The 26,442-nt window shown below is 45.6% G+C and overlaps 2 long non-coding RNA genes across 2 annotated transcripts, besides 17 other annotated features; one reads left to right on the plus strand and one right to left on the minus strand.

Moving 5' to 3' along the window:
- Positions 2,419 to 2,488: an enhancer, noted in NCBI's record as "active region_4044". NCBI's record gives its function as "activates an Ori minimal core promoter by ATAC-STARR-seq in GM12878 lymphoblastoid cells {active_cell/tissue: GM12878}" and the evidence as "EXISTENCE:reporter gene assay evidence [ECO:0000049][PMID:35858748]".
- Positions 2,559 to 2,638: an enhancer, noted in NCBI's record as "active region_4045". NCBI's record gives its function as "activates an Ori minimal core promoter by ATAC-STARR-seq in GM12878 lymphoblastoid cells {active_cell/tissue: GM12878}" and the evidence as "EXISTENCE:reporter gene assay evidence [ECO:0000049][PMID:35858748]".
- Positions 2,769 to 2,828: an enhancer, noted in NCBI's record as "active region_4046". NCBI's record gives its function as "activates an Ori minimal core promoter by ATAC-STARR-seq in GM12878 lymphoblastoid cells {active_cell/tissue: GM12878}" and the evidence as "EXISTENCE:reporter gene assay evidence [ECO:0000049][PMID:35858748]".
- Positions 2,899 to 2,968: an enhancer, noted in NCBI's record as "active region_4047". NCBI's record gives its function as "activates an Ori minimal core promoter by ATAC-STARR-seq in GM12878 lymphoblastoid cells {active_cell/tissue: GM12878}" and the evidence as "EXISTENCE:reporter gene assay evidence [ECO:0000049][PMID:35858748]".
- Positions 2,979 to 3,038: an enhancer, noted in NCBI's record as "active region_4048". NCBI's record gives its function as "activates an Ori minimal core promoter by ATAC-STARR-seq in GM12878 lymphoblastoid cells {active_cell/tissue: GM12878}" and the evidence as "EXISTENCE:reporter gene assay evidence [ECO:0000049][PMID:35858748]".
- Positions 3,189 to 3,238: an enhancer, noted in NCBI's record as "active region_4049". NCBI's record gives its function as "activates an Ori minimal core promoter by ATAC-STARR-seq in GM12878 lymphoblastoid cells {active_cell/tissue: GM12878}" and the evidence as "EXISTENCE:reporter gene assay evidence [ECO:0000049][PMID:35858748]".
- Positions 3,599 to 3,758: an enhancer, noted in NCBI's record as "active region_4050". NCBI's record gives its function as "activates an Ori minimal core promoter by ATAC-STARR-seq in GM12878 lymphoblastoid cells {active_cell/tissue: GM12878}" and the evidence as "EXISTENCE:reporter gene assay evidence [ECO:0000049][PMID:35858748]".
- Positions 5,748 to 6,247: an enhancer, noted in NCBI's record as "H3K27ac hESC enhancer chr10:112605645-112606144 (GRCh37/hg19 assembly coordinates)". NCBI's record gives its function as "activates a minimal SCP1, AML or CMV promoter by ChIP-STARR-seq in primed H9 embryonic stem cells {active_cell/tissue: H9 hESC(primed)}" and the evidence as "EXISTENCE:reporter gene assay evidence [ECO:0000049][PMID:30033119]".
- LOC124902499 (uncharacterized) lies at positions 10,501 to 18,718 on the minus strand. The gene is made up of 2 exons (XR_007062287.1): positions 18,497 to 18,718; positions 10,501 to 12,802 (listed from the first exon to the last, which is right to left on the minus strand). It is a non-coding gene; the product is annotated as an uncharacterized LOC124902499 (long non-coding RNA).
- Positions 12,655 to 12,704: an enhancer, noted in NCBI's record as "active region_4051". NCBI's record gives its function as "activates an Ori minimal core promoter by ATAC-STARR-seq in GM12878 lymphoblastoid cells {active_cell/tissue: GM12878}" and the evidence as "EXISTENCE:reporter gene assay evidence [ECO:0000049][PMID:35858748]".
- Positions 17,446 to 17,815: a transcriptional cis regulatory region, noted in NCBI's record as "candidate enhancer chr10.4148 targeted for multiplex CRISPR interference". NCBI's record gives its function as "positively regulates PDCD4 gene expression in K562 cells {active_cell/tissue: K562}" and the evidence as "EXISTENCE:mutant phenotype evidence [ECO:0000015][PMID:30612741]".
- Positions 17,651 to 17,780: an enhancer, noted in NCBI's record as "active region_4052". NCBI's record gives its function as "activates an Ori minimal core promoter by ATAC-STARR-seq in GM12878 lymphoblastoid cells {active_cell/tissue: GM12878}" and the evidence as "EXISTENCE:reporter gene assay evidence [ECO:0000049][PMID:35858748]".
- Positions 17,821 to 17,950: an enhancer, noted in NCBI's record as "active region_4053". NCBI's record gives its function as "activates an Ori minimal core promoter by ATAC-STARR-seq in GM12878 lymphoblastoid cells {active_cell/tissue: GM12878}" and the evidence as "EXISTENCE:reporter gene assay evidence [ECO:0000049][PMID:35858748]".
- Positions 19,236 to 19,735: an enhancer, noted in NCBI's record as "H3K4me1 hESC enhancer chr10:112619133-112619632 (GRCh37/hg19 assembly coordinates)". NCBI's record gives its function as "activates a minimal SCP1, AML or CMV promoter by ChIP-STARR-seq in primed H9 embryonic stem cells {active_cell/tissue: H9 hESC(primed)}" and the evidence as "EXISTENCE:reporter gene assay evidence [ECO:0000049][PMID:30033119]".
- Positions 20,233 to 20,362: an enhancer, noted in NCBI's record as "active region_4054". NCBI's record gives its function as "activates an Ori minimal core promoter by ATAC-STARR-seq in GM12878 lymphoblastoid cells {active_cell/tissue: GM12878}" and the evidence as "EXISTENCE:reporter gene assay evidence [ECO:0000049][PMID:35858748]".
- On the plus strand, positions 20,400 to 26,309 carry LOC124902500 (uncharacterized). Its single transcript, XR_007062288.1, has 2 exons — positions 20,400 to 21,032; positions 26,035 to 26,309. It is a non-coding gene; the product is annotated as an uncharacterized LOC124902500 (long non-coding RNA).
- Positions 20,633 to 20,942: an enhancer, noted in NCBI's record as "active region_4055". NCBI's record gives its function as "activates an Ori minimal core promoter by ATAC-STARR-seq in GM12878 lymphoblastoid cells {active_cell/tissue: GM12878}" and the evidence as "EXISTENCE:reporter gene assay evidence [ECO:0000049][PMID:35858748]".
- Positions 21,223 to 21,292: a silencer, noted in NCBI's record as "silent region_2822". NCBI's record gives its function as "represses an Ori minimal core promoter by ATAC-STARR-seq in GM12878 lymphoblastoid cells {active_cell/tissue: GM12878}" and the evidence as "EXISTENCE:reporter gene assay evidence [ECO:0000049][PMID:35858748]".
- Positions 24,629 to 25,008: an enhancer, noted in NCBI's record as "active region_4056". NCBI's record gives its function as "activates an Ori minimal core promoter by ATAC-STARR-seq in GM12878 lymphoblastoid cells {active_cell/tissue: GM12878}" and the evidence as "EXISTENCE:reporter gene assay evidence [ECO:0000049][PMID:35858748]".
- Positions 26,310 to 26,442: the final 133 nt, after the last annotated feature.

The raw sequence follows: 26,442 nt of genomic DNA on the forward strand, positions 1-26,442 counted from the left end.
AACCCAGGAGGCGGAGGTTGCAGTGAGCCGAGATTGCACCACCGCACTCCAGTCTGGGTGACAGAGCAAGACTCAGTCTCAAAAAAAAAAAAAAAAAAAAAATGAATCGCCTCCCAGGGTTGCTTCAGGGTTAAGATAATTGCTGGTGGAAGCACTTGGTGTGCTGCAAGTCACCGAATCTTGTTTGTTTTTGCAATCTGGACAGCAGCCCTCCAAATTTCAGGGGTTCTTAAGTTGTTTCTCAACCATTTCTTCTAGCAAAACAATGCCAGTCTTCTAGGCCCAGTTGGCCAGTCCTTTGAATGGCCCGGAACCTTCTCTGGGCCCTTCCCTTTTGTTGGCAGTGCTCCTGAGTCAACAGGGAGGGGCTGGGCAGCCTGGACCCAGAGGGCAAAGTGAGGGGGCCGCCTGCAATTCCTGGGAACAGATTGCAGGTCTGAGGAAAGTTCCTGCTGAGCCTGTTGCTGTCTGCGCCCCACCCCCACCTCCTGTGGCCATGGTGGACCAAGCTCAGGCCTCCAGTTTCCAACCAGGAGGAGTAGGGAAACCTCCTTTTCTGCAACTGCTATCTATGCCCCAGATGGCCAAAGCAGTGAATGGGCCTAGACTGGTTCTGCTGCCCTAAGTACAGGATCCAGGATGCTTGGGGGTGCCCCTGGTGCCTAGTCCTAGCATGTTGTTCTATGTGGCACAACTCTAGAGAGGGCATCCACATTGTATCCTATAGGATGGCACCCCCTGGAGTTGTGCAATGCAGACACCCAGCCAGGGACACCCCCTTCCCTCGAGTTGCAGTTGTTCCCCCAAGCCTGGGTGTTCCCATTTGCTCTCTGATATCTCTGTGGGCCCTAGAGCCTGGTTCTGAGCCAGTCCACCAGGCTGGACCTCTGACACTCAGACCTACTCCCTGTACCACACCTATCCCCAGGGATCAACTCCAGACTGCCCCTGCCTGACTCTGCCACAGCCTAGACACTGGGATTCCTCCTCATAATGCCCTACTAGGTCAGGGCACTTGGATACTAACCTTGCTTTCTTTTCTTTGTTTGTTTGTTTGAGACAGGCTCTCACTCTATCACCCAGGCTGGAGGGCAGTGGCACGCGATCTCAGCTTGCTATAGCCTCTATTTCCTGGATCCAAGCCATCCTCCTGCTTCAGCCTCCCAAATAGCTGGGACTACAGGCATGTGCCACCACCTCTGGCTAACTTTTTTTTGTAGAGATAGGGTTTCACTATGTTGCCCAGGCTAGTTTCAAACTCCTGGGCTCAAGCAATCCACCCACCTCAGCCTCCCAAAATGTTGGGATTACAGGCATGAACCATCAAACCTGGCAACAGCAACTGTTAACTGCCCTCTTAGGCAGTGGTTGGACATCTGGGCTCAACCCTGTCAACTCCCCATTCTCTTTTCCCACAATGGCAGTCATATAAAGGTGCCTATCCTGAGTGAAATTCCAAGCATGTTGGAGCAGGATGGCCCCAGAGACCCCCAAGCCTCTGCTCTTCCTTTTACAAGCCAGAAAACAGGCCCAGAGAAGAGAGGTGACTTGTTTGAGGCAACACAGCTTATTGGTATAGGGCCAAGACTAGAATCCAGATCCCTTGAGTCTTGCTGGGGCTACTTGGAGAGTTTATGATATTTCGATTACATTATCGTGTGAATTTTCCAGGTCTGGTCCTAGCTGGACTTTGGCACTCAGCAAGGGACTCAAGAGAAATCATGGATTCTCATGCTTTGGGTGCATCAGCCGCACCTGGTGAGCTTGCTAAAAATGCATATTCCTGGCGCCCCCATGGAGATTCTGACTCATTAGGTCACGGGGAGGACCCAGGCATTTGCATCTTAGCAAGCCTGGGGGGTAATTCAATGCAGGTGCAGTCCACCGATGACACTTAGAGAAACACTGCCCTAGATGTCAACCAGGGACTTCCCCAGTAGCTCCTGGAATAGAAGCAGCATTTATTTTACTGGGTGGTAGGGCCATTGAAGGTAGGGGCACTTTAGTGTGAAAAAGGCTTGACAGTAGGAGGCAGAGAAAAGGAGACCAGCATGGCCATGGCAGAAGGGGCTGGTGGCAGCTGGTGGGTGGGGGAGGCGGCGAAGGATGGGGGTGGGAGCGTGTCACAGTCATCGAACTGGGTTTGGGAGCATGTGTTATGATTTTTAGTTGGGTTCGTACTTACTGTGCTCAGGCAAAAGTCAATTTTCCAATGCTGTCTTTATCTTTGTTAATGGCTGGAAGTGTTGTGGTTATTAAACAGCTCCTCGAGATCTGATGGAAGCCCTGCTGCTGAAGACAGAGAGCTGTGTGGAGTCAGCAATCCTTACTCAGAGGAGAAACAAGGAACAGGGCCACTGCCCAGGGCCGCGTTGCTGTCAGCGAGGAACTCTGGGGTCACACACACTTTCTCTCCCTCTTCCACAAGACACTACTGCTGTCAGCTCGGCCCTGCTGATTCCTGAGTCCCCCTGCATGGCACACTTAGTGTACTCCATAGGGGCACTGTCTCTTGGCCTCTTCACAACTGGAGAAGCAGGTACTGTTATTCTCCCCATTTCATAGATGGAAAATGAGGCTCCGAGAGACAAAGTGGTTTGTCAAGGGTCAGACGACCAGTAAGTGGCAGAGTTGGGATTCAAACCCAGGTCCACATGACTGTCAAACCACACTCTTAGCCACTATTCTCCACTGCCTACCTCCTGTTCCTGCCTCTCCCTAAAGCCTCTAGACTCTGGGTCTGCCCAGAGCTGCTTGGATAAATTAGAAAGTCTAATTTAGCAATACTGCAGTTACCTATGGCTGAATTCCTGATTGTTAAATTCCAGAAACTGATTTCTCCAGTACCTCTCCTCCCTGGAAAGTAAAGAAAGGCCTCCACCCACAGCACTATACCCAGAGAAATACTGTTTCTTCCTTCTTCTCACTTGGGAGAATATTCCAGGGGAGCTGAGTCTGAGGGCAAGAGAGGAAGGAGGGCCCCGGGGGCTGCTCAAGTTCCTCCTGTTTCAGGGAGGAGAAGAAAGAGAAGCAGCTTGCTTTCTGCTCTCAGGGGACTTGGGGACAAAGGGGAGTGATCAAAAGGGGATTTCCCACAGCCCCAAAATGCTAGCCGGATTGCACTTGTGACCTCTCCTTCCTGAGTGAAACTAGATTGTTGACTTGCCTGCCACCTGTTTCCAACATGGAGTAGAGATGTTGCACATACATGATGCCATGTGTCCAGATTAAGACAACAAAAAATTATAAACAAGGATTGAAGAAAGTTGGAGGCAGCAAATATATGGTCTGTAAGGGCTCATACAGCAAGAGATGTGACTAGAAGCCTCCTGGGAGCCAAGGCAGAAAGAAAAAAAAAAAAAACATGCTCTGTCCTTAGGCTGGAGAGAGCATTCCAGGTTATCTGGGGAGATTGTTCTACTTGACTCTATATTCTGGAATAATTCTCCTGAGGGACAGTACAGAGGTACTGAGAGGTGTTGGAAAAATCCTTAGGGAGCTCACAGCCCAACATTGGAGAAGAGCATAGTGGGAGCGGGGACACTGGGATGGCTTCTGGTCTGTGTGAACTGGTTCCTGATGTTGGGGCAACACCTCCCAGTGTCCGAAGGCCTGATCCTTGCTCACACCTGCCCAGCCACCTGAGAGTGAGTATGCTGGCTGGAGTTCATGAATTTTTGTTTGGGTTTATTTTCAAGCTCTGTTTTTCAAATTTCTCTGTTAAGTGGCTGAACTTCCAGGAACCAGTGTTCACAGGCCAAGGAGGAGGCCACCATCATCTCTACTACCTGAGTGCCCTGCCACACCCACCTGACAATAGAGAGCTCTAGGGTGGGGCCCCTGCTCTTTGGATTGTTGGGGGAAATAAACCTCTCCAGCATTTATTCTTTGGGGTTACCCCAAACGGATGACCACAGCCAGGAGGGAACAAAGCCTGACTGGGAAGTGCTGATTCTCTCTGGCAGTTTGGGAACTTCCCCTCAAACCTGTCTGATAAGGAGCGGCCTAGGGAGGAGGGGTGCAAAAGGTGTGCCCCGTTTGCCCGTGAGATCTCTCACCATCACTGTATGCAAGCCTAGGAAGAACAGAGCTTTCTGGCTCAGGGACAGATCTCCATGCTGGGAATCAGGACCTTGAGTTCCTGGGTCAAATCCACAATGAACTCATTCTGAGATGTAGGCAAATGTTTACCTTCTGTTGCTTCGGTTTTCCCATCTGTGCATTTGATGTGTGCCTTGTGCGTGCCAGAGGTTTTTGGGAAGAAAATAAGAGTGGAGACTTGCTGTCAATCACAAGGTGGGGGGTGGTCACTTCTCTACCTGAATCTCCCACATGGGCCTGTGGGGAGCTATGGTCCTTATTACCATCCTCCTGCCCCCAGCAGGGGAGCCTACCCATGAGGCAGGCTTGCTTGGGGTCGGCCAGCCTGGTCTCTGTGGTTTTTGTCTCCTGGGCTCCTCGTATGGCTTAGCTTGGCCCTCCACCGACCCTACTTAATCTTGCCTCCTCTCCACCCACCTTCTCACCCCCACAGCCTCCATTTGTGGTTCAGCTATGCTCAGTGCCTCGGGGGTTCCCAAATAGGCCCCTTCCAGCTCCTTGATTTTGTAAATGGTTTTCCCACTGCTAGGAATACCTTTTGGCCCTTTCTGTCTACCTGGAAACTACGACTTTTTTTTTTTAACATTCTACTTAGGTGTTGTCTTCTTTACGAAGCCTTCCTTGACTTCTCTGACCTCCCTGCAGGTATTGCTGGTCCCCCACTGTGTCCCAGAACACTTTGTACCCCTAGCCCAGACACACACACAAAGGCCCCTCTTTTTTTTTTTTCTTTTTTTTTTGAGGCGGAGTCTCACTCTGTCACCCAGGCTGGAGTGCAGTGGTGCCATCTTGGCTCACTGCAAGCTCCGCCTCCCGGGTTCACGCCATTCTCCTGCCTCAGCCTCCCGAGTAGCTGGGACCACAGGTGCCCGCCACCACGCCTGGCTAATTTTTTGTATTTTTAGTAGAGACGGGGTTTCACCATTTTAGCCAGGATGGTCTCGATCTCCTGATCTCGTGATCTGCCAGCCTTGGCCTCCCAAGAGGCCCCTCTTTTATAGCCCTTATCATGTTTCCTTGTTATCTGTTTATAGATTTGCCTCTGCAGTAGTCATTGAGTCTCCAAGGTCAAGAAGTGTATCCTGCTTCCCCTGTGCACACTGGTATCCCCACTACAGAGCAGATACCAGTGAATGTTAGTTGAAGGACTAAGTTATCTGTTGCTCACTTCTGGGACTTGCTGGAGCAACAGAGACCTGAGTCCTAAGTCTCTGCCCAGTCACACACTGCCCAGGTACCAACCCATGGTACCTCTGCCCAAGTACCATGAGGACTGGCACAGCTGGCTGGCTCTAGGAGCAGGGTGGGTCCTTGGAGCAGTGCCAGGGAGCACCCTACCCGCCCACCACCTTCCCTCCCCCTACCCATCCTTCCCTTCCCTGGTCCCCCTACCCCAGGGCTGGCAGTTGGCTCTGAAAGTGGATAACACAGCCCTGCTTATGTTGCCCAAAGCTTGGCCTTTTAACAGCTGGCTTCTTCTATAGCCACAGAGCCAGGGCTCCTGTGTAGGCTGCATCTCTGTGTCCCCAGGGGCATCTCCTCCCCAAACCTGTCTGTCCTCACTCTGCACCTCCACCTAGCCAGGCCCACCCAGTTCTCTAGGACCTTCCCAGGCAGAGCTGAGAACAAAGCAGGGTTTATGACAGTTCTGTCAACACTGGGTAGATGGCCTTGGTTCACCCTGCACTTTGCAAACCACGCCTGCCTGACTGCCTGCCTGATGCCCACACCTATTCAATGCCTCCAAAGACCCAAGGGCTGCAGGGAGGCTCCTGGCACCTTCCTCTCTTCATGTCTAAAAAGCACTGGGAGACTTGGGTCACTGAGTGGGAATTTCACAGCCCTGGAAGAGAGAGACCTTGGTCTAGATTGATTAGGCCAGCCAGATGATTAATAATTAAACTTGACCTGTTCCCAGACACACACATACCCTGCAGCCAGGAATTACCAGAGAGTAGGGGCTGAGAAGGAGGCTTTGAAGCTTGGCATGGGACCAGCTCTGAAAGCCCCCAGGGAACTAGGCCTCTTAGTCTCAGGGGTTCCTCCCCACCTATCCCAGGTCTACAAATCCACCTCCTAATAAAACCTTACTGACTTTTTCCACAGGCTCTGAGCTCAGAGCAGGCCTTTGGCAATCCCTAGGGTGCAGGCAGCCTTGGCAGCTCTGCTCTGGGGTGGGATTTGCAAAGCAGTTTGGACTTCAGCTGCACCTGTGTTGACACACGATTTCTTCCTGAGCTCCTCCTGAGCACAGCCTCTCCCCTTATTTATATTCCCATTGCTGAGCACCCAGCAAAGGGCATGGCACACTCAGCATACCCAGGACTGGCTTCTTGCATGATCCTGTCACAGCAACAGCGTTCAGCTCAGAGAGGTGGGAACTGGCCAGTCAGGGTGCAGCCCACCCACATCAGCAAGAGCCTCCTGAGCTCTCCCAGGGGTCTTCTCCAACCATGAGAACACTGAGACTCCACAGCTGGCTGCTGGACACTATAGGGGCCAAGGACCCAAACACTAGGGTGCAGCTGGGTGGCCAAAGTGGGGCTCCCTTCCTCCCTCTCTCTGTAGACTCATCCTCCCAGCTTTTCCCTTGTTTTTCCTAAGGTCCTGGGGAAGCATGATCTTCTCCCCGTAGGCTGCCTTCCTGCTGCCCCTTCCTCCTTCCAGCTCCACATTTCCCCAGTTATGAGGCTTCTTCATCTGGGGGAGGCCACTCATCAGCATGTTGTCCAGCCTTTTGTGGCTAGTTTTTACTTCAGGTGTGGGGATAGGTGTGTGACTTCGGCCCCTCTGATGCCTTGGTCTCGAGCCAGCTAGGCTAATGCAACCCTTCTGCTTTGGGATGAGACAAATCCCCCAAGCTCTCTGCAGCCCAGATTTCCCACCTGAGACAGCCCAGCCAGCCCAGGAAAGCCATATGAACCCTATGCTGCCCATCCTGCTTCTTCCACTGAATTGCAGGGTGACTTGATTGGGTCACTTCCTTTTCCCCCTACCTCCCCTCCTCACCCCCAGGCCTTTTCCTCTCTGGAAATGAGACCATCATCCTGGCCCAGCCTCCTTCCCTCCTGGTGTGACGTAGCAGAGAAAGACATCAACCTATTATTTAAACACGTGTGTGCAAGTGCCTGTGTCTGTCCACATGTGCATGTGTGCAAGTGTGTATGCGTGCATATGAAGCTCCCTGAGAGCTGTCACGTTTGGCAGTTTCAAATCTGAGCCTTCCCGGGATGCCCCATCACAGGTAACACTCCCATCCATCCTGGCCCTGGGCTGCAGCCGCTCTATCTGCCTGTTTCTTTTGGCTCCTGGTTCAACAAGTATTCCTGTGGGACTATGCAAAGCCTCTATCTCTTTCCTCATCCTTGCTAAAGAAAATTTTAACTGCCAAGCATTTACTCCTCTCTCTTTTTCTTATTAAGTAGAGCAGCTCAATCAGCAGGGTTGGGGAAGAGCCAGAGGAGCGGGGCTGGGGAGAGGCCCACCAAGGATGGTTGAGATGGACTTCCAGAGAGAAGAGGAAAAAGCGGGGGAGGAAGAAAGAGAACACACTCTCACACTCTTTCTGGGGAAGCAGTCAGGGATGTTTTGAGGTGTTTTGGTGGAGAGTAGAGAGAGAATGTGAGGCTTCTGGGTTAAATCTCCAAAAAAAGGAGAGATTTAACGACATGTTGCTATGTATTGCATATCTGATCTCACTTTATGTTCTTTGAAAGATCCGAATAATATTTTTCATCTAAGAGGGCATCAATTGTAACTCTCTCATCTTTATTTTTTGTACAATTAAGAAAGAAAACGACACAGTCAATTAAACTCTAACACACATTTGTTAAATACATCCTAGTTTCAGGAATGTTAAAATGTAAAAAAAATTGTGTGTATTAAAATATATGGATAAAGTTCTTTTAGATTTTTTAATACACAACATGCTGGGACTGGACTGCATGGGGCTCTTAAACTTCTTCTGCTGACAGTCGTGCATCTGGGTCAGGTCCTCTCCTCCTCACCCTGTTTTCACCCTGTAGCCCTCATAGCACCTACTGCATGTGCCTGCACATAAGACAAACTCATTTAAGCAGTTAAAGGTTGAGCAATCACGTATTCTCAAGGGGCTGTAGTCAAGTCCTCTCCTAGTCTTCATAGATTTTTTTTTTTTTCATTTTAATGACAATCTGAAAGATGGGTAGAAAAATAGGTACATGCAGCCAGGCACAGTGGCTCACAACTGTAATCCCATTCCTTTGGGAGGCCAAGGCAGGCAGATAACTTGAGGTCAGGAGTTTGAGACCAGCCTGGCCAACATGGTGAAACCCCATCTCTACTAAAATACAAAACTTAGCTGGTCATGGCGATGTGCGCCTGTAAACCCAGCTACTTGGGAGGCTGAGGCAGGAGAATCACTTGAACCCAGGAGGCAGAGGTTGCATTGAGCTGAGATTGCACCACTGCACTCCAGCCTGGGCAAGACAGCGAGGCTCCATCTCAAAAAAAGAAAAAAGAAAAATAGGCATATGCACAGAACCATATCCACACATTCCCCCATACCCATACCATAGTCTGGACATCTGGATGGTCAAATGACTTGACCCCTCCACCCCCCACACCCACCCATGTATGTTTAGGTTTACGATAGCGTTGGTGCCCATAGTGTATTGATTGCTCTGATTATCCCAGGCTCTTGAGGAGAGTATTGATGGAGACTTAGTACACAAAGAACATATTTGTGCATGCAGAAGGCAGTGTGGTTTGCAGTGGTTTAAGAAAGAAATGTCTTTAGAGACTGGGGACAGATCAGATTGCCTGAAGGGAAGGAGGTTTTATGGCAGAGCCCTTAAAGACTTCCATCATCTGAGGGATATGCAAAGAGCCTGAGAAGCAGCGGCCAGAGAATTAGGAGGAAATCTGGGAAAAGTATGGCATCGAGGACATCTGAGAATGAGAATATTTCAGGAGTGAAGAGTTTTGTTTACTAGAGTTGAATGCTCCTGATTGGTTGTATTAGTTCAGTGTTTCAGTAATTCTGAGAGTAAGTAAGTAGATTCAGAGTGTTAAATGGCAAAAGTGAAAAAGCTCAGACAGGTCAAATCGCATTTGAGTGAGTGCCATTTTTAAACTGCAATGGCTGGTGTGACATAATGAATTTCCATTGACTTATGAATGGTCTAGAGAATCATTCTCCATCCCCAGCTTCTAATATCTGAATCCCTTTTGCCTTGATCTATCAGCCATGCCTGAAGACCCACTGGATTCCAATTCCTGAATCAAGTCTGGCTAAGATAGGGAACATATAAACAGTCATACCCCAACATTGTTGATGGGAGCCACAGAGAGAAGCACCTGCCCTTGCAAACACACATAGTACCCACCACTGCAGACACACACACAACCTGACCAAACCTGGGTCTGGTTGCCTCATCCTGCCTGCTGGGCTAAGCCAGACTGGCTGCAGGACATGGTGCCCTCAGGGGCAGGGATCCTGCCTAAGAATCTTTTCATCACCTTTAATCCATTCTCCTGCCTGGTGCTGGCCTCAGGTTCTCCCAGGAATAGGCCCAGCCACTAGCCTAGGCACTAACTTCTTTTACCCTATTGAACTGATGTTTTACATAAGTTATTTTTGCCTGTGCAATATCCCTTCCCTCTTGTTCCTGCAAGAAAACCACTGCTTATTGCGGGAACCCATTCCCTGTGATTTGCATGGGCCCATCTGTCCTGTCCTTCCCAGAGAGGTGTTCACATGATCCAAGCCTGATTAATCAGAGAACCTCATCCTCCTCATCACAGCAATTGATTCAGGATGAGGAACATAATCCAAATGGGCCAATCAAAATGTTCCCTGTGATTTTGTCAGTACCATCAAAAAGACACACTCTAATTCTGAGGTTGCTAGCTGTAAGTCAATGGTTCTCGAAGTGTGGTCTGCAGATCCCTGCATGAAGTCAAAACTATTTTTATAACCACATTGAGATTTTATTTGCCTTTCTCACTGTGTTGACATTCACACTGATGGGGCAAAAACAATGGTGGGTAAAACCACTAGCACCTTTGCTGTTCTGTGGGAAAAAGTGAGAGGCTAGGAGGCTGAGCGGTAGTCAAATGAACGCTGTGCTGCCCATGCTCTGCCCTGTAGTTACAGAGATCATGTCCACTGTCATACAGCTCCAGGGCACCATGTAATATGGTAGTCTATGAGAGTGGTCCCATCAGAGTTGTTCAGTGCACAACCTACATGGGTGTGCCCAGTGGTCCTGAGAGCTGTGCTCTCCAAACTATGTTCCATGTGACTCTGGTGCCACAAAATACAACTCACAAAAGAATGCCACAGTTAAATAAGCTTGGGAAGGCTGCATTCTATATACTTCTCTCTTGAGACTCTCAATGGAAAGCCACACAGAAAGGTTTCACAATCAAGTAACCTGGTTATTTTATTAACCCCTGTTTTCCCCAACTATTTCACCATGCAATCATTTTAATTCAAGAAATATTTATAATGTACCATGGAACACTGAGCTTTAGCAAATGCTCTTAAACACCATTACAAACTTCATGACAGCAGAGACTGTCTTATTTTCTGCAGTGTGCAGTATGCTCATGGCCTGATACGGTGCCTGACACATGAGAGACCCTTGAAAAATTTGTTGAATAGATTAATGAATCCATGAATGATTGATGCTTTCACAAGTATCTGATCTCCTTAGTATTCTCTATATTTACAAAAGGTGAGGTCCTTGTAGTGCATTATTTATGTTATTTTGCCAACACTGAACTCTGTGCTGTGGTCAGTTGTCTTCCCAAAATGATATGTTTTTCAGGATGCAGTGAGATTTTATGCATTTGATTATGTTCCCTCCGTGAGCGGGGCTGGGCAAGCACAACTGTTTCCCATTACCCAGCCTCTCTGAGGCCGCCCTTCTTCTGTGGTTTGAGGTGGAGAAGCAGCACAGGCAAGCCCTTCCCAGCGGTTTTTGTGTGGTTGACAGAGACCTAATGCCAGCTTTGGAAAAGGAAAGGCCTTTAGCAGCTCTGACTCTGCTCAGTTGGGAAATAACGAAGCCCCTGGGACGTATTCTCTGGAGTTGTCAGGCTCAGACTTGTGTTTCCTTCTTTGAGAAGGAAGGGGCACCAAGAACAGGAGTGAAAGTGTCTTGGAAACCCCAAGGTTTTAGAAAATGCAGGACTTGGAAGATTGAGGCCAGAAAGAGAGAGAGCGAGAGAGAGAATGAGAATACTTTACTCTCTAGTATCCTCAAGTGCAGGGGCTGACAAACTACAGCCTGAAGCCAAATCCAGCCCACTGTCTGTTTTTGTGCTGCCCTCAAGCTAAGAATCAATAAAAAAATTAAAAGAATATTTTATGACATATGCGAATTATATGAAAATCAAATATGAAATACATAAAATCTCTTTACACATCAGCATTAGCAGATGAACATTTGCAATTGATTTTAATGATAGAACACTTTGAGCCCCAACTAAGGAAAATGCTATTTATGAAAAAAGAATTTTAATCTTCTTATTAGGAGATATGTTTTATCTAAAAACTGTATTCATTATTATACTTTGAACTTCACTAATACAAATATCATAGGAATTTGTTTTCTCTTCTGCTTTTTAAGTACCTATATCATAACCTCGATTTTGCCACTTGCCTGGGAATCCCAGATTTGTTTTGAGACAGAGTCTCACTCTGTTGCCAAGGTTGGAGTGCTGTGGTGCCATCAGGCTTATTACCCTGCCAGGCTCAAGCAATCCTCCCACCTCAGCCTCCCAAATAGCTGGACTATAGGTACTTGCCACCATGCCCAGCTGATTTTTAATTTATTTTGTAGGGGCGAGGTCTTACTATGTTGCCCAGATGTACTAGCTGATTGCTTACAGAAAATGTCTGCCAATCCCCGCTCAAGTGGATTATCTTCAATGACTTAAGCTGTTTTATATGGCAGGGGAAAAGGGAGCCTAAGTAGATTCTTCCTATATTCATTTAGTCACCAGGTTCTTCTAGGAGTCTTCTATGGTCCTGAGTGTGCAATTGGTGAACAAAGCGGACACATGGACATGGTCACTGTCCTCAGGGACTTTACTATCCAGAGGCAGGTCACTGGAAATTGATCAGCCTGCATGTACATGTCGATAGGATGATGAGTCAAAGTGAACCCTGACAGCTTTGGAATTTGAAGTGTGTCAGCTGGTCAGTGAGTCACATTGCCCAGGGCACGGCTACCTAGAAGTGCTCTGTGTGAAACCTACCGGGAGGAAGGATCAGGTGAGTGCCATGAGACCAGCAGGGGAAAAGCCAAGTCCAGGAATGTCAACCAGGATAGGGCTGCTCTGTCATATTGATTCAGGCAGTTGGTCAGAGAGTTAGGCAAAAGCAGCACCAGCACATGAAAAACAAGGTGGAGAGCGGCATCCCAGGGCAAAGCTGCCTGCTAAGGCCTTCTTCACATTTTCTGCCTAGGGTAGCTAATGAGACGCCTTAGCCTCTAAGAGCTCAAGACTCCTGAGCACAGCAAGGGTGCAGGGATGGTCCTCTCAGGAGGCTAAGTACTTCTTTGTAACTTTGTTTCATTTATAACTTTGTTTCATTTCTTTGTTTCATTTGTAGCTTCGTTTCATTTCTTCAGATTAGAAATTTTTTTTTCCTTATGGCTGCAGCCTTTAGAGGAGTCCACAGTAATCGCCTTTTGTCCTCTCAGAAAATCTGTGGATAAGACAACAGGCACATCATCTTTCTCACAACTTACCACTGAGGAAACGGTACAGAGAGGAAGAAAAAAAGCATCCCAGAAAGGCAATCTAGATCACTCAGTGACTACCGCCTAGCACCTCCAGGAACAGAGGCAAAAGTTGAAAGCAGGGTGTGTCCCCAGGACATCCCTGCAACTCACCCTTTCTCCTCTGCTTCCAGAAACATCCAAGCAATGCCTCTAGGGCTAGTCATAGACTTAATCTTGTCTGCCTGGGTCCTTAAGATCTCAGATAGAATCCTGTAAGCTATTCTTGCTAACCCTATACCTCGGGAGCAGCCTAGCAATGTGAAATGAACATGGGCTTTGGGGCCGAATGAACCTCACCCAGAGCCTGGTTCTGCTACTCAGTAGCTCCATTATTTGACCTTGGCAATGACAACTTCTATAAGCCTCAGTAAATTTACATACAAAGCAGAGAGAATACTTTCAACTATAAAAAATGCGTGTAAAGAGAAGAGTCTTCTTCCTCACCAATCCAATACCCTTCCCAGACTTGTATTAATAATGCTTTGGTTCAAATACCTCCAGATTTTCCCTAGGCTTATACTGACACAAATATGTATAGATATAGATACACATGCATATTTTCACAAGCTACATATTACTGTACATATTGATCTGACACTTGCTTTGTTTCTATTCAACAATATGTGTATATCATTTCAAGTCAACACAGATAAAATATTGTACTATTCAGTGACTGTATAATATTCCCTAATATGGATAAATGATAATTAACACAACCTACTGATGGATGTTTTTCTTGGTTTAAATGTTTTTCTATTACAAATCTTGCTGCAATGGATGTACAGGTTTATGAATCTGTGTTATTATTTCTGTAAGACAGAGTACTGAACATGGGGTTGCTGGGTCAAAAAGGACACACATTTAACATTTTAGTAGATTCTATGAAATCACCTTCCTCCCAAAGTTGTGCCAGTCTACACTTGCATTAGCAGTGTGTGAGAGAACTCCAGATATCCTTGCAAGCACTCTGTACTATCAAGTTTTTAATTATTGCATTTCCTTGACAACAGAGAACATCTTTTTATGTTTATGGGCCATTTGCCTTTCCTCTGTGAATTCTTTGTTTATATTTCTTTCCTATTTATCTATTTGGATGTTTGAGTTGTTCTTACTTATAGGCACTTTTTGTACATTAAGCATAAACATCTGTTGGCAGAGAGAAAAGACACTGTGTTTTGAAGCTCCCAGGGGTGAGTATCAGGGTCTGAAGCAGGTACTGAACTGCCAGAGGTCTGTGTTTGATATTAGGAATATTAATCTTTCATGTTTTAAGTGTTGCAAATATTTTACCTAGGTCTATCATTTTTTTAAACTTTGTGCTGTCTTTCATCATGTGGAAGTTTAAAATGTTTCAATATTCAAATCTATAATAGTTTTCTTCATGGCTTCTGGGTTTCCTGTCTTGTGTAAGCAGTCTCCCCATGCTGATGTTATGTAATTATTTTCCTCTGTTTGCTTATAATACTTTTATGGCTCCATATATTTATAATTGCATCTTTAGTATATCAGAAATTTACATTTGGAATAGATGAAGAATTTATATTCTCAGCATACAGGATGTGTTTCTGAGGTTGTCTTCTCTCATCACTCTAAATGTACTGGGGGGGCTCATTTTTGAGTAAAAGAGGTCAATATCAAATATGATCCCATTATTGTACTCACTTATATAAACAATTCTACAATTTGTTAATGTTGATTATTAACTAGAATGTTAATACTGGTTATTTCTATGTGATGGGTTGCAGATATTAACTTTTTCATCTTATCACCTATATTTTCTTTTTCTACATAAACAATTATGATTTGTGTAGTGAAATGTATTTAAAGAAAAAAGTGTCAGGAGGGCTGCTATTGTCGATATCTCATATTGGGCAGCCACCTTGGTGGCCTTGAAAAGCACCAGACCGTAAGCTCCTTGAGGGCAGCCCCATGCTTCTTGGGTGCCTCTCCTTATCCCAGGGCACAGTGAGTCCCAGACAGAGGTGTGTAGCTCAATGGGTTGCATTTCTCTACAAGCCCACAGTGTTTACCCCGATGTGAAGATAACAGCTCCACTCACTGAACAAAGACATTTCTTCTGATTGCAAATTTTATTTCCCAATTCCCCCTTTTAGCGCCTCCCACAGTGGGTGTGGCATCTGTGTTGGGAAAAGTTCACACTCTAAATACAAGTGAAGGCATAATGAATTTACGTTCCAGGCCAACTCATCAACAAGCATGTTTGTTAGTATCATTTCTAAGAAGTCTTCAAGAATAATTCAACACCAGCCGGGCATGGTGGCTCATGCCTGTAATCCCAGCACTTTGGGAGGCCAAGGCCAGTGGATAACCTGAGGTCAGGAGTTCGAGACCAACCATGGCCAATATGGTGAAACCCTATCTCTACTAAAAGTACAACATTCGCTGGGTGTGTTGGTGCATGCCTGTAATCCCAGCTACTTGGGAGGCTGAGGAAGGAGAATAGTTTGAACCCGGGAGGCAGAGGTTGCAGTGAGCCAAGATCGCACCACTGCACTCTAGCCTGGATGACAATAGCAAAACTCTGTCTCAAAAAAAGAAAGAAAGAAGAATTCCAGACCAAAGTGACTGCTCCTCACTGTCCTAGTGGTTAATTTGGGTAGTGTTTTATACATTTTCAGTACAATAGCATCTCTATTATTTGATTTGATCCTTGGACAAAACTCTGGCATGCAGAGAACAGGTATAATTGTGTCCTCCAGAGCACTCGTGAAAGAGTTATGTATTTTCCCATATATGAAATTTCAAGATATTGAAAAGTTTCCCCCTTAAGCACCAAAACTTTATTTACTAGAAACATTTGTAAGAAAATTTTCCTAAAATAACATTCGGTAAAGCCCTGCCTTGTTAAACAGTAGTTACAGAGTACAATCATTTGAAATTTCCTTGGAAAGCCTTTGTAAGCATCAATTGTCATACCAGGCTCCTAGGCAGATGGCTTTGTAGATACTGCCACGTGTAAATGCCTTTGCCCTAGTACTAAACGGTTCCCATTGCTTTGGAAGATCTTGCTTCTGCCCTACAGTTTTTCTTTCCATTTCCTTGCTCTCTCTCTGCTTTTTTATGTTTCTATCAGCAATCAGTGTGCCTATCTCTAGCAGCTGAACTTCCTGCTCATCAATTGTTTGTCATCTATGATAGGCTCGGAAGCCAGAAAACCAAGCATATTCTCAACATGAACAGGCAACCTACAACATGGGAGAAAATTTTCGCAACCTACTCATCTGACAAAGGGCTAATATCCAGAATCTACAATGAACTCAAACAAATTTACAAGAAAAAAACAAACAACCCCATCAAAAAGTGGGCGAAGGACATGAACAGACACTTCTCAAAAGAAGACATTTATGTAGCCAAAAAACACATGAAAAAATGCTCATCATCACTGGCCATCAGAGAAATGCAAATCAAAACCACTATGAGATATCATCTCACACCAGTTAGAATGGCAATCATTAAAAAGTCAGGAAACAACAGGTGCTGGAGAGGATGTGGAGAAATAGGAACACTTTTACACTGTTGGTGGGACTGTAAACTAGTTCAACCATTGTGGAAGTCAGTGTGGCGATTCCTCAGGGATCTAGAACTAGAAATACCGTTTGACCCAGCCATCCCATTACTGGGTATATACCCAAATGACTATAAATCATACTGCTATAAAGACACATGCACACGTATGTTTATTGCGGCATTATTCACAATAGCAAAGACTTGGAACCAACCCAAATGTCCAACAATGATAGACTGGATTAAGAAAATGTGGCACATATACACCATGGAATACTATGCAGCCATAAAAAATGATGAGTTCATGTCCTTTGTAGGGACATGGATGAAATTGGAAGCCATCATTCTCAGTATACTATCGCAAGAACAAAAAACCAAACACCGCATATTCTCACTCATAGGTGGGAATTGAACAATGAGATCACATGGACACAGGAAGGGGAATATCACACTCTGGTCTGGGGACTGTGGTGGGGTGGGGGGAGGGGGAAGGGGGAAGGGATAGCATTGGGAGATATACCTAATGCTAGATGACGAGTTAGTGGGTGCAGCGCACCAGCATGGCACATGTATACATATGTAACTAACCTGCACAATGTGCACATGTACCCTAAAACTTAAAGTATAAAAAAAAAAAAAAGTTAAAAAAAAAAAAAAACAACCAAGAAAACACAGGCTCCAGGAGGAGCTCTAAGGGATTTTTATCTGAGTAAAGGGGATAGACTGATAAGAGAGGTCATTTCTTCTGCTCGTTCACAGGTCTTTTGAGATTTTCTTTGCTTTCACACTGATGTGGTTTTACTGCACTAGCTCCATTTTACGGATGGGGACATGGATGCCAATAAGACAAGATGACTCAGTCAAGGCCACATGGCAAGTGAGTGGGTGTCTTCCTCCATCCATGGCCCTGTCAGTTTTGGCTTGGATGAGCCAAGTGGTAGAAGCGTGACTGGGGCAAAGCTCACCAGCACCTCTCCTGGACTTTTCTTCAGAAGAGAGGGTCAGCAGTAGCCCCTCTGGGAGGTTTAAACAACTCCATGATACACCTGGATCCCTTCTGCTAATGCAGCAGGCCCCTTCATTTCCAGAAATTAGAGCTTGCCAAACAGCTGTGTTTACATTCAGAGCCGTAGTTTATCGCTGCTGGTCCTGGAAGGGATTGTTCAAGCTTATCTTCTCTAGATAGCAACGTGCTGAGGGTTGCACAATTCTGACCTAGATTGAAATCAGCTGCAAAACACCTAGTCCTGAACACACACACGCACACGTCTCAGGAGACTCAAGGCACTGCAACTCACTGACACATTCTCTCCTCAACAGGCCAACTCTCTCCCATAATCCTGGGACCTGGGCCAAGGCAAGGCGGTACGGCAGCAAAGGTCCCAGGGGACTTTGTTGAGGCAGGACTGTTTCCCTGAGCTGGGTGCCGGCCTCCTGCCCCATGTGCCTCATTCTCTTGTCTTTCATGCAGGGAGACAGCTGGGTGAGAGGGCACAGAGAAGAAAGACAGTAGGCATCATGCTGCAGAAGATTCAGGGCCAGAACAAAGGGCAGCCATTGACAGCTGCACATTTTATGCAAATCTTGAACGGTTTCATCCAGGGAACAAAACCCTTGTGAAAATGGTGGAAAAGGGCCCTTTCCCTTTTAGAAATTCTACGGTCTGACTACTCCAGATGGTAGAAGACTAACAAAAAGCTCCAGCCCCCATGGCTCTGATCTGCCCACTGCCTGGTCAGAAACCTTTAAGAGCTTTCAACAGTTGGCCCTATAAAGTCCAAACTCATTCAAGACTCTTTATGGACTGGCCACATCTTTAGCTCCCTCCCAGCCCAGAGTCACCCTCTGCCTGCTCTCAACCTTCCTGGTCTTTTATCTGTACCCCTCCTTGTGCACTTATCACTTTCCACTATGTACAATGGTTGTTTTTATGAGTCTTATCATTCCTGCTGGCCTAGTCTATCAGTTCCTTAAGGGCAGGGCCTATGCTTGTTTATCTTTGTACGTTGAAGCTTTAGTATGGTATGCATTATGGGGTGCCCAATAAAATTTATTGAATTAAACCAGGGACTCTCCCACAGGGATGAACTTACCTTGAGAAAGACATCTAAATTCCTCACTGAACCCAGGAGCAGGAAGGACACCTTCACCCCAGCCTGCATAGGAAGTGTTTCAGATAGTAATCTCAAGGTCATGTGGTCCAACTCTTCTATTTCAGGAGATGAAGAGACTGAGATCCAAGTGTTGGGCTAGGGACAGTAGATGTTATGAGTTTCATCTATAGGTGAGGGAGCTGAGGCTCTGGCAGCAGAAGTCACTTTCTCTTTTTTTTTTTTTTTTTTTTTTTTGTGATGGACTCTTGCTCTGTTGCCCAGGCTGGAGTGCAGTGAAATGATCTCAGCTCACTGTAACCTCTGCCTCCTAGATTCAAGCAATTCTCCTACCTCAGCCTCCTGAGTAGCTGGGATTACAGGCATGTGCCACCACGCCCAGCTAATTTTTGTATTTTTAGTAGAGACAAGGTTTCATCATGTTGGCCAGGCTGGTCTTGAACTCCTGACCTCATGATCCACCTGCCTCGGCCTCCCAAAATGTTGGGATTACAGGCATGAGGCACCGCGCCCGGCTAGAAGCCACTTTCCTAATGTCAGGAAGGTAGAAGGTGGTAGATTTAAAGGGATTTAAAGCAGGGTCTGCCTGACTCAGAAGCTTATTTTCTGTTGTGAAGGAGCCCACCTACAGCCTCCGCCCCTGAACATCCAGCTGCCCTGCTGGTTTCCCAGAACAGGACTCTGTCTGGCCAAGCCCTGGGGCTGGTTGGACACTGAGGTAGGCAGCACCTGGCTTGGGTGCATTTGGAGCTCCATGGCTGGAGAAGCTGTTTATGAACTCTGCCCATCCAAGGCCTGGCAGCACAGCTACCCCAGCTGGGTCTTTTCACAGAAGGCCTGTCGGGCAGGTCCTAGAACATCACACAGAGCCTTTGTCCAGAAGGCATGGTGTTTTCCAGTGAGAAGTTTGCATTGCCTACACTGGCAGGAGGCAAGGGAAGTGGAGACCACCAGCCTTTTGCCAGCAGGAGTCTGCTCCCAGAGGGAAAAGGGGAGGAGAGGGAGCTCAGGCCAAGAAGGACCCAAGTGGAAACTCGAGAGGGAAATGGCCTCGGCAGTATTTAGGGCAGTAGATTGGGAACTCCTTAAGAGCTGGAATTGAGTTTTGTGTTGAAACAGCTCAGGCTAATTTCAAATCTCAAGCCTGCCCTTTACTGCTTGTGAGGCCTTGGGCGATTTTTTTGACCTTTCTGAACCTTAATTTCCTCATTTGTTGTGTGAGGGGGATAATAGCAGTATCTTGCTGGATGTGATGAGGATCAGAGACCAAGGAGTACGCAGGCACACAGCAGTCACTCAATAAATGGTGGAGTCCACATACATTTTTGTAAGCATTCCTTCTGTTTCTGGATTTATGAACTGATAAAAGGCCAGGGCTGCAGAGGACACCCAGGCAATGGTGTCACATGACTGTTAACTGAGAAAAGGAAACGAAATTACCAGGAGTAAACCCACATTTAGAGGAACTTTGGCCCAGAAACAGCTGGGGGTAAGGCAATCTGTTTCTAGTTAGGAAGCAGCCAATGGAAGAACTGTGAAATTCTTCAGTTGTTGCTAGAGCTGTTGCTTCATAAATGTTCTAAACTTAGCATGTGTATGGGGGTGTGTGTGTATCTATGTGGTGTGTATGGGGGTGTATGTGTGTGGTGTATGGCATGTATGTATGTGTGTGGTGTATGGCATGTATGTATATGTGTGTGTGATGTATGTGTATTATGTGTATATATATATATGTGGTGTACATGCTTCTCTACGGTAAGATTGTGGAAGCCTTGTCTTTCTCACCTTCAACAGTGCTCAATAGTACAGGAAGGAAAGACACATATTTATTTTAGAAATGCTTGATCCTTTAGTATATGTTTTTTCTATAATTCTCCCAGTGGCTCTCAGACAAGGAAAGTGAGGCTCAGAGAGGCTTCTTGTTTAAACTCAACCTGCTGGTTAGTGCCAGAGGTCCACCCTGGGCTTAGATCTGCTTGACAACAGTAGGCATTGTTGGCTTGACTCCTAAAAGAAGAAGGCCACAAATGCAAATACAGTCGGGGTTTTGTTCTATGGTCTGCTCTTCAGGCAACTTTTCTTGTGGTATGTCACCTAGGTACCTGTGTTCTGTTCTGGCTCTCAGACTTGCAACTTCCTGCACAGCACGTTGTCACTCTGGTTTTATTTTTGTCAGCTCTTCCTCTGAACCAGGCCTCACCCCAGAGAAGCAGACTCAGGGAGGGCAGGAACAGCTCTGGGGCTATTGGGCCTAGCCCCTGGGCTGATGTAGAAGCATCAGTTCTGCCTCAGGCTGGGACAGCTGGAGTGTCAGCCTGCGCGTTCTGCCTGGGATCCAGCATGGCTGCGGTCCCTGGAGGGCTTCAGCTTCCCGCCATTCCTGGGAGGCCTCTACAGATGGCCACAGTTCACCTTCTGGCAAATTCACAGCAAACTCAAGCATGAGCTGCAAGTGCTGAGGACAGCTTATTGCAGTTCATTCTCCTGAGTAACTCCACACACACCTAGCAAATGACAGGTAGGCATCTGCCGGGCTAAACCAGGAAGTAAAACTCTGTGGGCAGCCTCAGACAGGCTCTTGTACAGAAAATAGAAATCTTATTAGTTCCTTTAGTCTTTCACCAAACATTTATTGACAACCACCTGCCTACAATAAGCCTGATGCAGGGGCAAGGTTTTTGCCTTTCAGAAGGCCACAGTCCAGTGGGGAACTGATGTCAAAACAAACAGCTGAGCTTGGGGAGCAGCATGATAACAGATAGGCATATCATGGCAGGAATGGAGGAAGAGTCTCTTCACTCTGCCCTGGCCTGGGGAAAACTTCTCATGGGAAGCATTACTTTACCTAAGCCTGAAGGATCAGTTAGATTTCAATAAGTAAAAATAATATCGAAAGCTATTAAAGTATTATTATTATTTATTAGATACTTGCAATATGTCAAGCATCCTACTAAGTACTTTACAAACATTATTTCATTTAATTTGAATAACATCCCTAATTCAACGATACTGTAATTATCCCCATTTTACAGGTGAGGAAACTGAGGATCAGAAAATGTGAAATAACTCACTCAAAACTAGGAAATAGAAGAACAAATAGTCAAACCAACTTCTGCAGATTCCAGAGCCCAGGCTTTTATGCTTTTTAATATGTTCAAAAAATATAATAATATAAATAGGTAAATGTCTTGTTCCCCTCCTGGCATCTCCTGCTGGTCTCTGTATATCCCATACACACCAACTGCCTGCTGCCCTTATAGATGTAAACAGTTACATTGGTTTTTTATATGTTATTCAGTGTTTATGTCAATATAAATGAGTCTGAGTAAATATTCTTATTTACCCCTCTTTCTTATTCAAAAGTGGCATATATTAACACTGATTTGTACTTAATGTAGTCTTGGAGAGCTTTTTATTGGAGTATATAGCAATCTTCCTCATTCTTTTGCACAGTTGTATAGTACTCATTTGCTGAGCCCAGGCTTTCAAACACAAGGCAAAGTTCAGCTGGAAACATATAGGTAGGCTTTGCTAAACTGTCTAAATTTCATGAGGCACCAAGGAGCAAAGGGGTAATGATATGGATTTATTTTTAGAAGATTCCTTATATTAGGTAGGAAGATGCACACAGCACAGCCTGCCTAAACATGTAGCCCCACCTCAGTACAAAGACATGATGTACTGCCACAGTGGTGGCTGGAGAAAAGCCCTTCCATGGAACAAGTTCTGACTTATCTCTGGCCCTGTTGCCTGCAGCCCTGCGGCCTCTGCTTTTTAAGATGTCTTCCCCATGATCTGCCTGTGGAAATTTTACGGAACTTCCTGTGCCTAGGATGCAGAAACCACGTGTAGTCTTAATGTGTCACCCTGGGCTACTGCTCTGGGTGACGCATTAAGACAACTTATAATAATTGTGCAAGAGCTCGAGACGCTTCACAGGTGGTACTTAAAGTATTCCCAGGCCTCTAGTATTCCCTGGGAAAGCTTGCTGTCAGGGCTGTTACTGACTCAAATGCCTTTGAAGGTAAGCTGGAGTCAGCACTCCTTTTCTCTGAGAGAGGGGGTTCTCCCACAGAGTAACAATACCTGTGGTAATAACTTTGGTTCTTTGAAAAGAGGAGTTTTCTCTTTAAGGTTATGTGATCACAGTTGCTAAAACCTTGGTGGCTTCAAAGAGGTTGTGTAGTTTCCAAAAATACAGCCCCATCAAATGCACATGGCCACCAGTCAGCTGCCTTTGTGTTTGCTGAGTTCTATGGCTATGGACCTACCACATATATTCATCACAGTGAATAAAGCTGACCAAGCTTTACAGCACTGGTTACATTTTGTTCTGGTGCCTCGACGTTTGCCTTATCTTTCCAAAGAGTTCTTAAGAGAAGGTAGCTTATAAGTGAAATCATTGCACCACACAGTCTCCTGGAAGAAAACATGCATAATCGTGGGCAATGGCTATAAGCAGAATCTTAGACCAGATCTCAGCCAACTCACAGATCATATTGGATAGATTACAGCCCCAGAAAGAATCTGGGAAACGTTTTAAGTTCTACACCCTTGGAGCCATCAAATTACTCAAGGTCATACTTCCAATTAGTAGCACAACTAGGATTGGAATCCAAACCTCTTGCCTTCTCGTCCAGATCCCAGTCCATTAAATGTGTTTTCCAATATGTATTCCATAAGACGTTAATAGACACTATGTACAAAAGGGTGTTATGGTCAGATAAGAACAGCAAACATGGGGTTAAAGAAAATTGAATGGGTTACTTATGACAGAACTTCTCAGAGCCTTTAAAACACCATTATTTATTGTGATTTTCTAAGAGGGGAGATGATTAGCAGTTTCCCTAAACTTACTTCATCCTAAAACCCTTTTGTGGTGGAACATCTGTGGAGCATATTTTGAGAGACACCATGTAATGCTTCCTCTCTTAAATAAGTTCAAGAGTTTTTTAAAGATACACTCATGGGTAATGGGGCTGACTTTTGTTTAGGAAATGTTGGGAGGTTTGGCTTATATTTTTGGCCCATTGAAGTCATCATAATGGGAGGTAGGTGCCAGGCCTGACTGGAATGACTATGGGGTGTTCCAAGATGGCAATTCATCTCTTTTTAGGACCACTGCTGTCTTAAAAACCAATTTTGTTTTGTTTTCCTATTGTTACTTTGAAGTACTTTGACTGCGCCTGGTTTGACATACAGAGGAAAGGTAAGTCTGGTGGCCTCTCTTGATGAAATACTGTTGTGTCAAACCCCTATCTACTCCAATGGGGATAGCGCCAGGATCAAGAGGCAGAAGAAGAGACCCAGAGCCAGCAAATGAGACATGGGGTTTGGCTGGGGGCTTACATACAGGAGACAGAGTCCAGTGATGGTGGGCTGGACAAGATAACTGCAAAGTGCAGTGGTGGCCGGCTGGACAGAAGAACCACAACTGATTGCAAAAGGCATGCAGTTTACATATCTTTTTCACTTAGCATCCTTTCCCTAATAACCTCCACCTGGCAACCTTCACTCAACCCAAAACTCAGGGCCTCAAGCTGCTGTACAGCCCATGTTTCACAGGATGGTCTGGGGGCTCAGATGTTCCTGACAGACAAGGAACGAATCTCCTGGTTGGCCACTTCCAGATTCCCTAGCTCAGAACACACATTCAGGTGCATTTGTCATACAAGTTCATTCTCAGGGTATGCTTTAGTTATTGCTATCAGATGCATTTACCATACAAACACCCAGTCTGAAAATGGGCCCAAATGTAATAACATGTAATAACATAAATGTAGAAACATATTCCAGATGTTCTTGATCTTTTCTGGGACATGATTCTTTTGGGGGCCTTATGGGAAAAAGTTATTGACCCATTGTGGCATCAAATGCATATTCATAATAAAACTTGCATAAAATTTTAGGGTGTTCTTGCACCCTCTGAAGCCAACCAGTAAATCACTGGGCTAGATTTACTGTCCTCAAAGAGAGCTCTCTGAAAACAAAACATATCATAGACCTATGTAACACAAGAAACGATAGTAAGACTCTCAGTTGTCCCCTGAGCAGTTATTTTTTTTCTTTCTTTTGAACTCTTGGTTCTTGGAGGGTGGCCTGTTGCTTGCTAGTTCCTGTTTTGATGTTGGCTTTGTCAATTGCGCTGAATGACTGTCAATCATGTTACTTCAACTGCGGTACTTGGGGACTTCCTGGAGCTGTTGTTTACAAATGCCAGTCCTAGTTTCTCTTTCTGAATGCTGTCCTCCTAGCTTTTTGGAAAGAAAAAAAAAACAGGGCAGAAGGACAAGACACATGCAGAGAACCATATGGAAAAGGAAGGCAGCTGTTGGCCGTGGAATGAGGTCCTATGGCTCTGTCTGTGTCTTGCCAGGAGCCGCACCACTTCTGTCTGGGCCTTGGTTTGCTCATTTGTTATCTGAGCAAGTTGTCCTCACCAGGTCATCTCCTGGGACTTTATTCTTTTCTCTGAACTTCTACGGGGCTAGCTTCATTTTTATTATAAACATTTAATAACAAAAAGCAACATCTTTCTTGGGTTTCCCTTGTTCTTCTCTTGCCACTACTTTTATTTATTTATTTTTGCTCAAAATAAATAGAGGTTCGATTAGTTCCATTAATTAACTTCTACCCAGCATTTGTCTCTTCAGCCATCCCCCTTCCTCAGCCCTGCCTTACCCCTGCCCTTCTCTAGCCTTCTCTGTTTGTACTTCCTTATAGATTTGGCTGTCTTAATCACAACCCAAGATCATTCATTTCATTTATTTTCCAGAATGAAAAGTTCCTCATTTCTATACCAGGCTTTCTGGGCCCTACCTCCTTGTCTGGGAAGCAAGCCGACACTGCAGACATAGAGGGGAGGGGGGCATAATGGCAGCTATGTGCACTCAGGGCAGCTGGAGAAAAGAGGATTAATTCTGAGACATGTGAAGCCTAGCCCAGGATCCAGTGTTCCAGAAGAATGCGAATAAAGCCCCGAGAGATACAACTGGAGGAGCACTTCTCTACCCTGACTCAACACTATTAAATGCAGGGCGTGGCAGTTATAATAAATGCTGAAAAGCATCGGGTGGAATGGTCTGTGTTTGCAAAAGTCTAATGAACTGGAGTTTGCAAAGGCTTAGAACTTAGGCCAAGTATAGGAGATGTGGTAAAATTTGTGTTTTGGCGGGGGATATGGTGCGGGAAAGATTTCTTGCTGGAGTTCCTCAATGTTAATTGAGCTTTTTTTCTAAATCTCTAAGGTGGTAGGAGTGATTTGAGGGGGGGAAACCCCATAAAAGACAAATGTACTAAGAAAACCTTTCGAAACCTGAATTGAGGAAATAAAATCTTAGTAGTCTTTCAATTTTTCTTGGTACATACCACAGTAAAATATTGCATCTATTTTTTGAACTATGCTTCACATTACTCTGTGCTTGCTTTTTACCCCAGGAAAGACATGCAAGAAATGCCCCTTGAAGGGTTTCTAAACGTTGTACAATGCTTACTACCCTTTCCCTCTTCCCCACTTTCAGGCCCCTGAGATGGATTCATCTGATACCAGGAGCCTCTAGGACCCAGAAATTTAACTGTCAATCAAGAGGCATGTGAGGGAAAGTCCAGCCCAGCCTGGGTGCCAGAAGGTCTGGATTCCTGGTCTGCACATTCCCTACAACTCTGGGCAGAGATCTCATATGTACTTCTGGCTCAGCTACTAACTTAGCTGTGTGGCTTTAGGTGACCCACTTAACTTCTCTGAATCTGTTTCTCCATTTGTAAAATAAAAGGTTTGGACTAGGGAATCCCCAAATTTCCTTTCAGTATAAAAGTTCCATGATTACCAGTGACCTGCTCAAGGTTCATTATTTCCCTCATGTTTAAAGCACAGAATCTTGTCCACTTCATAGGGAGGTGGTGAAAGTCTATGCACATGTGCTCAGTAA

Source organism: Homo sapiens, chromosome 10, assembly GCF_000001405.40.
Source record: "Homo sapiens chromosome 10, GRCh38.p14 Primary Assembly".
Classification (NCBI taxonomy): Eukaryota; Metazoa; Chordata; class Mammalia; order Primates; family Hominidae; genus Homo; species Homo sapiens.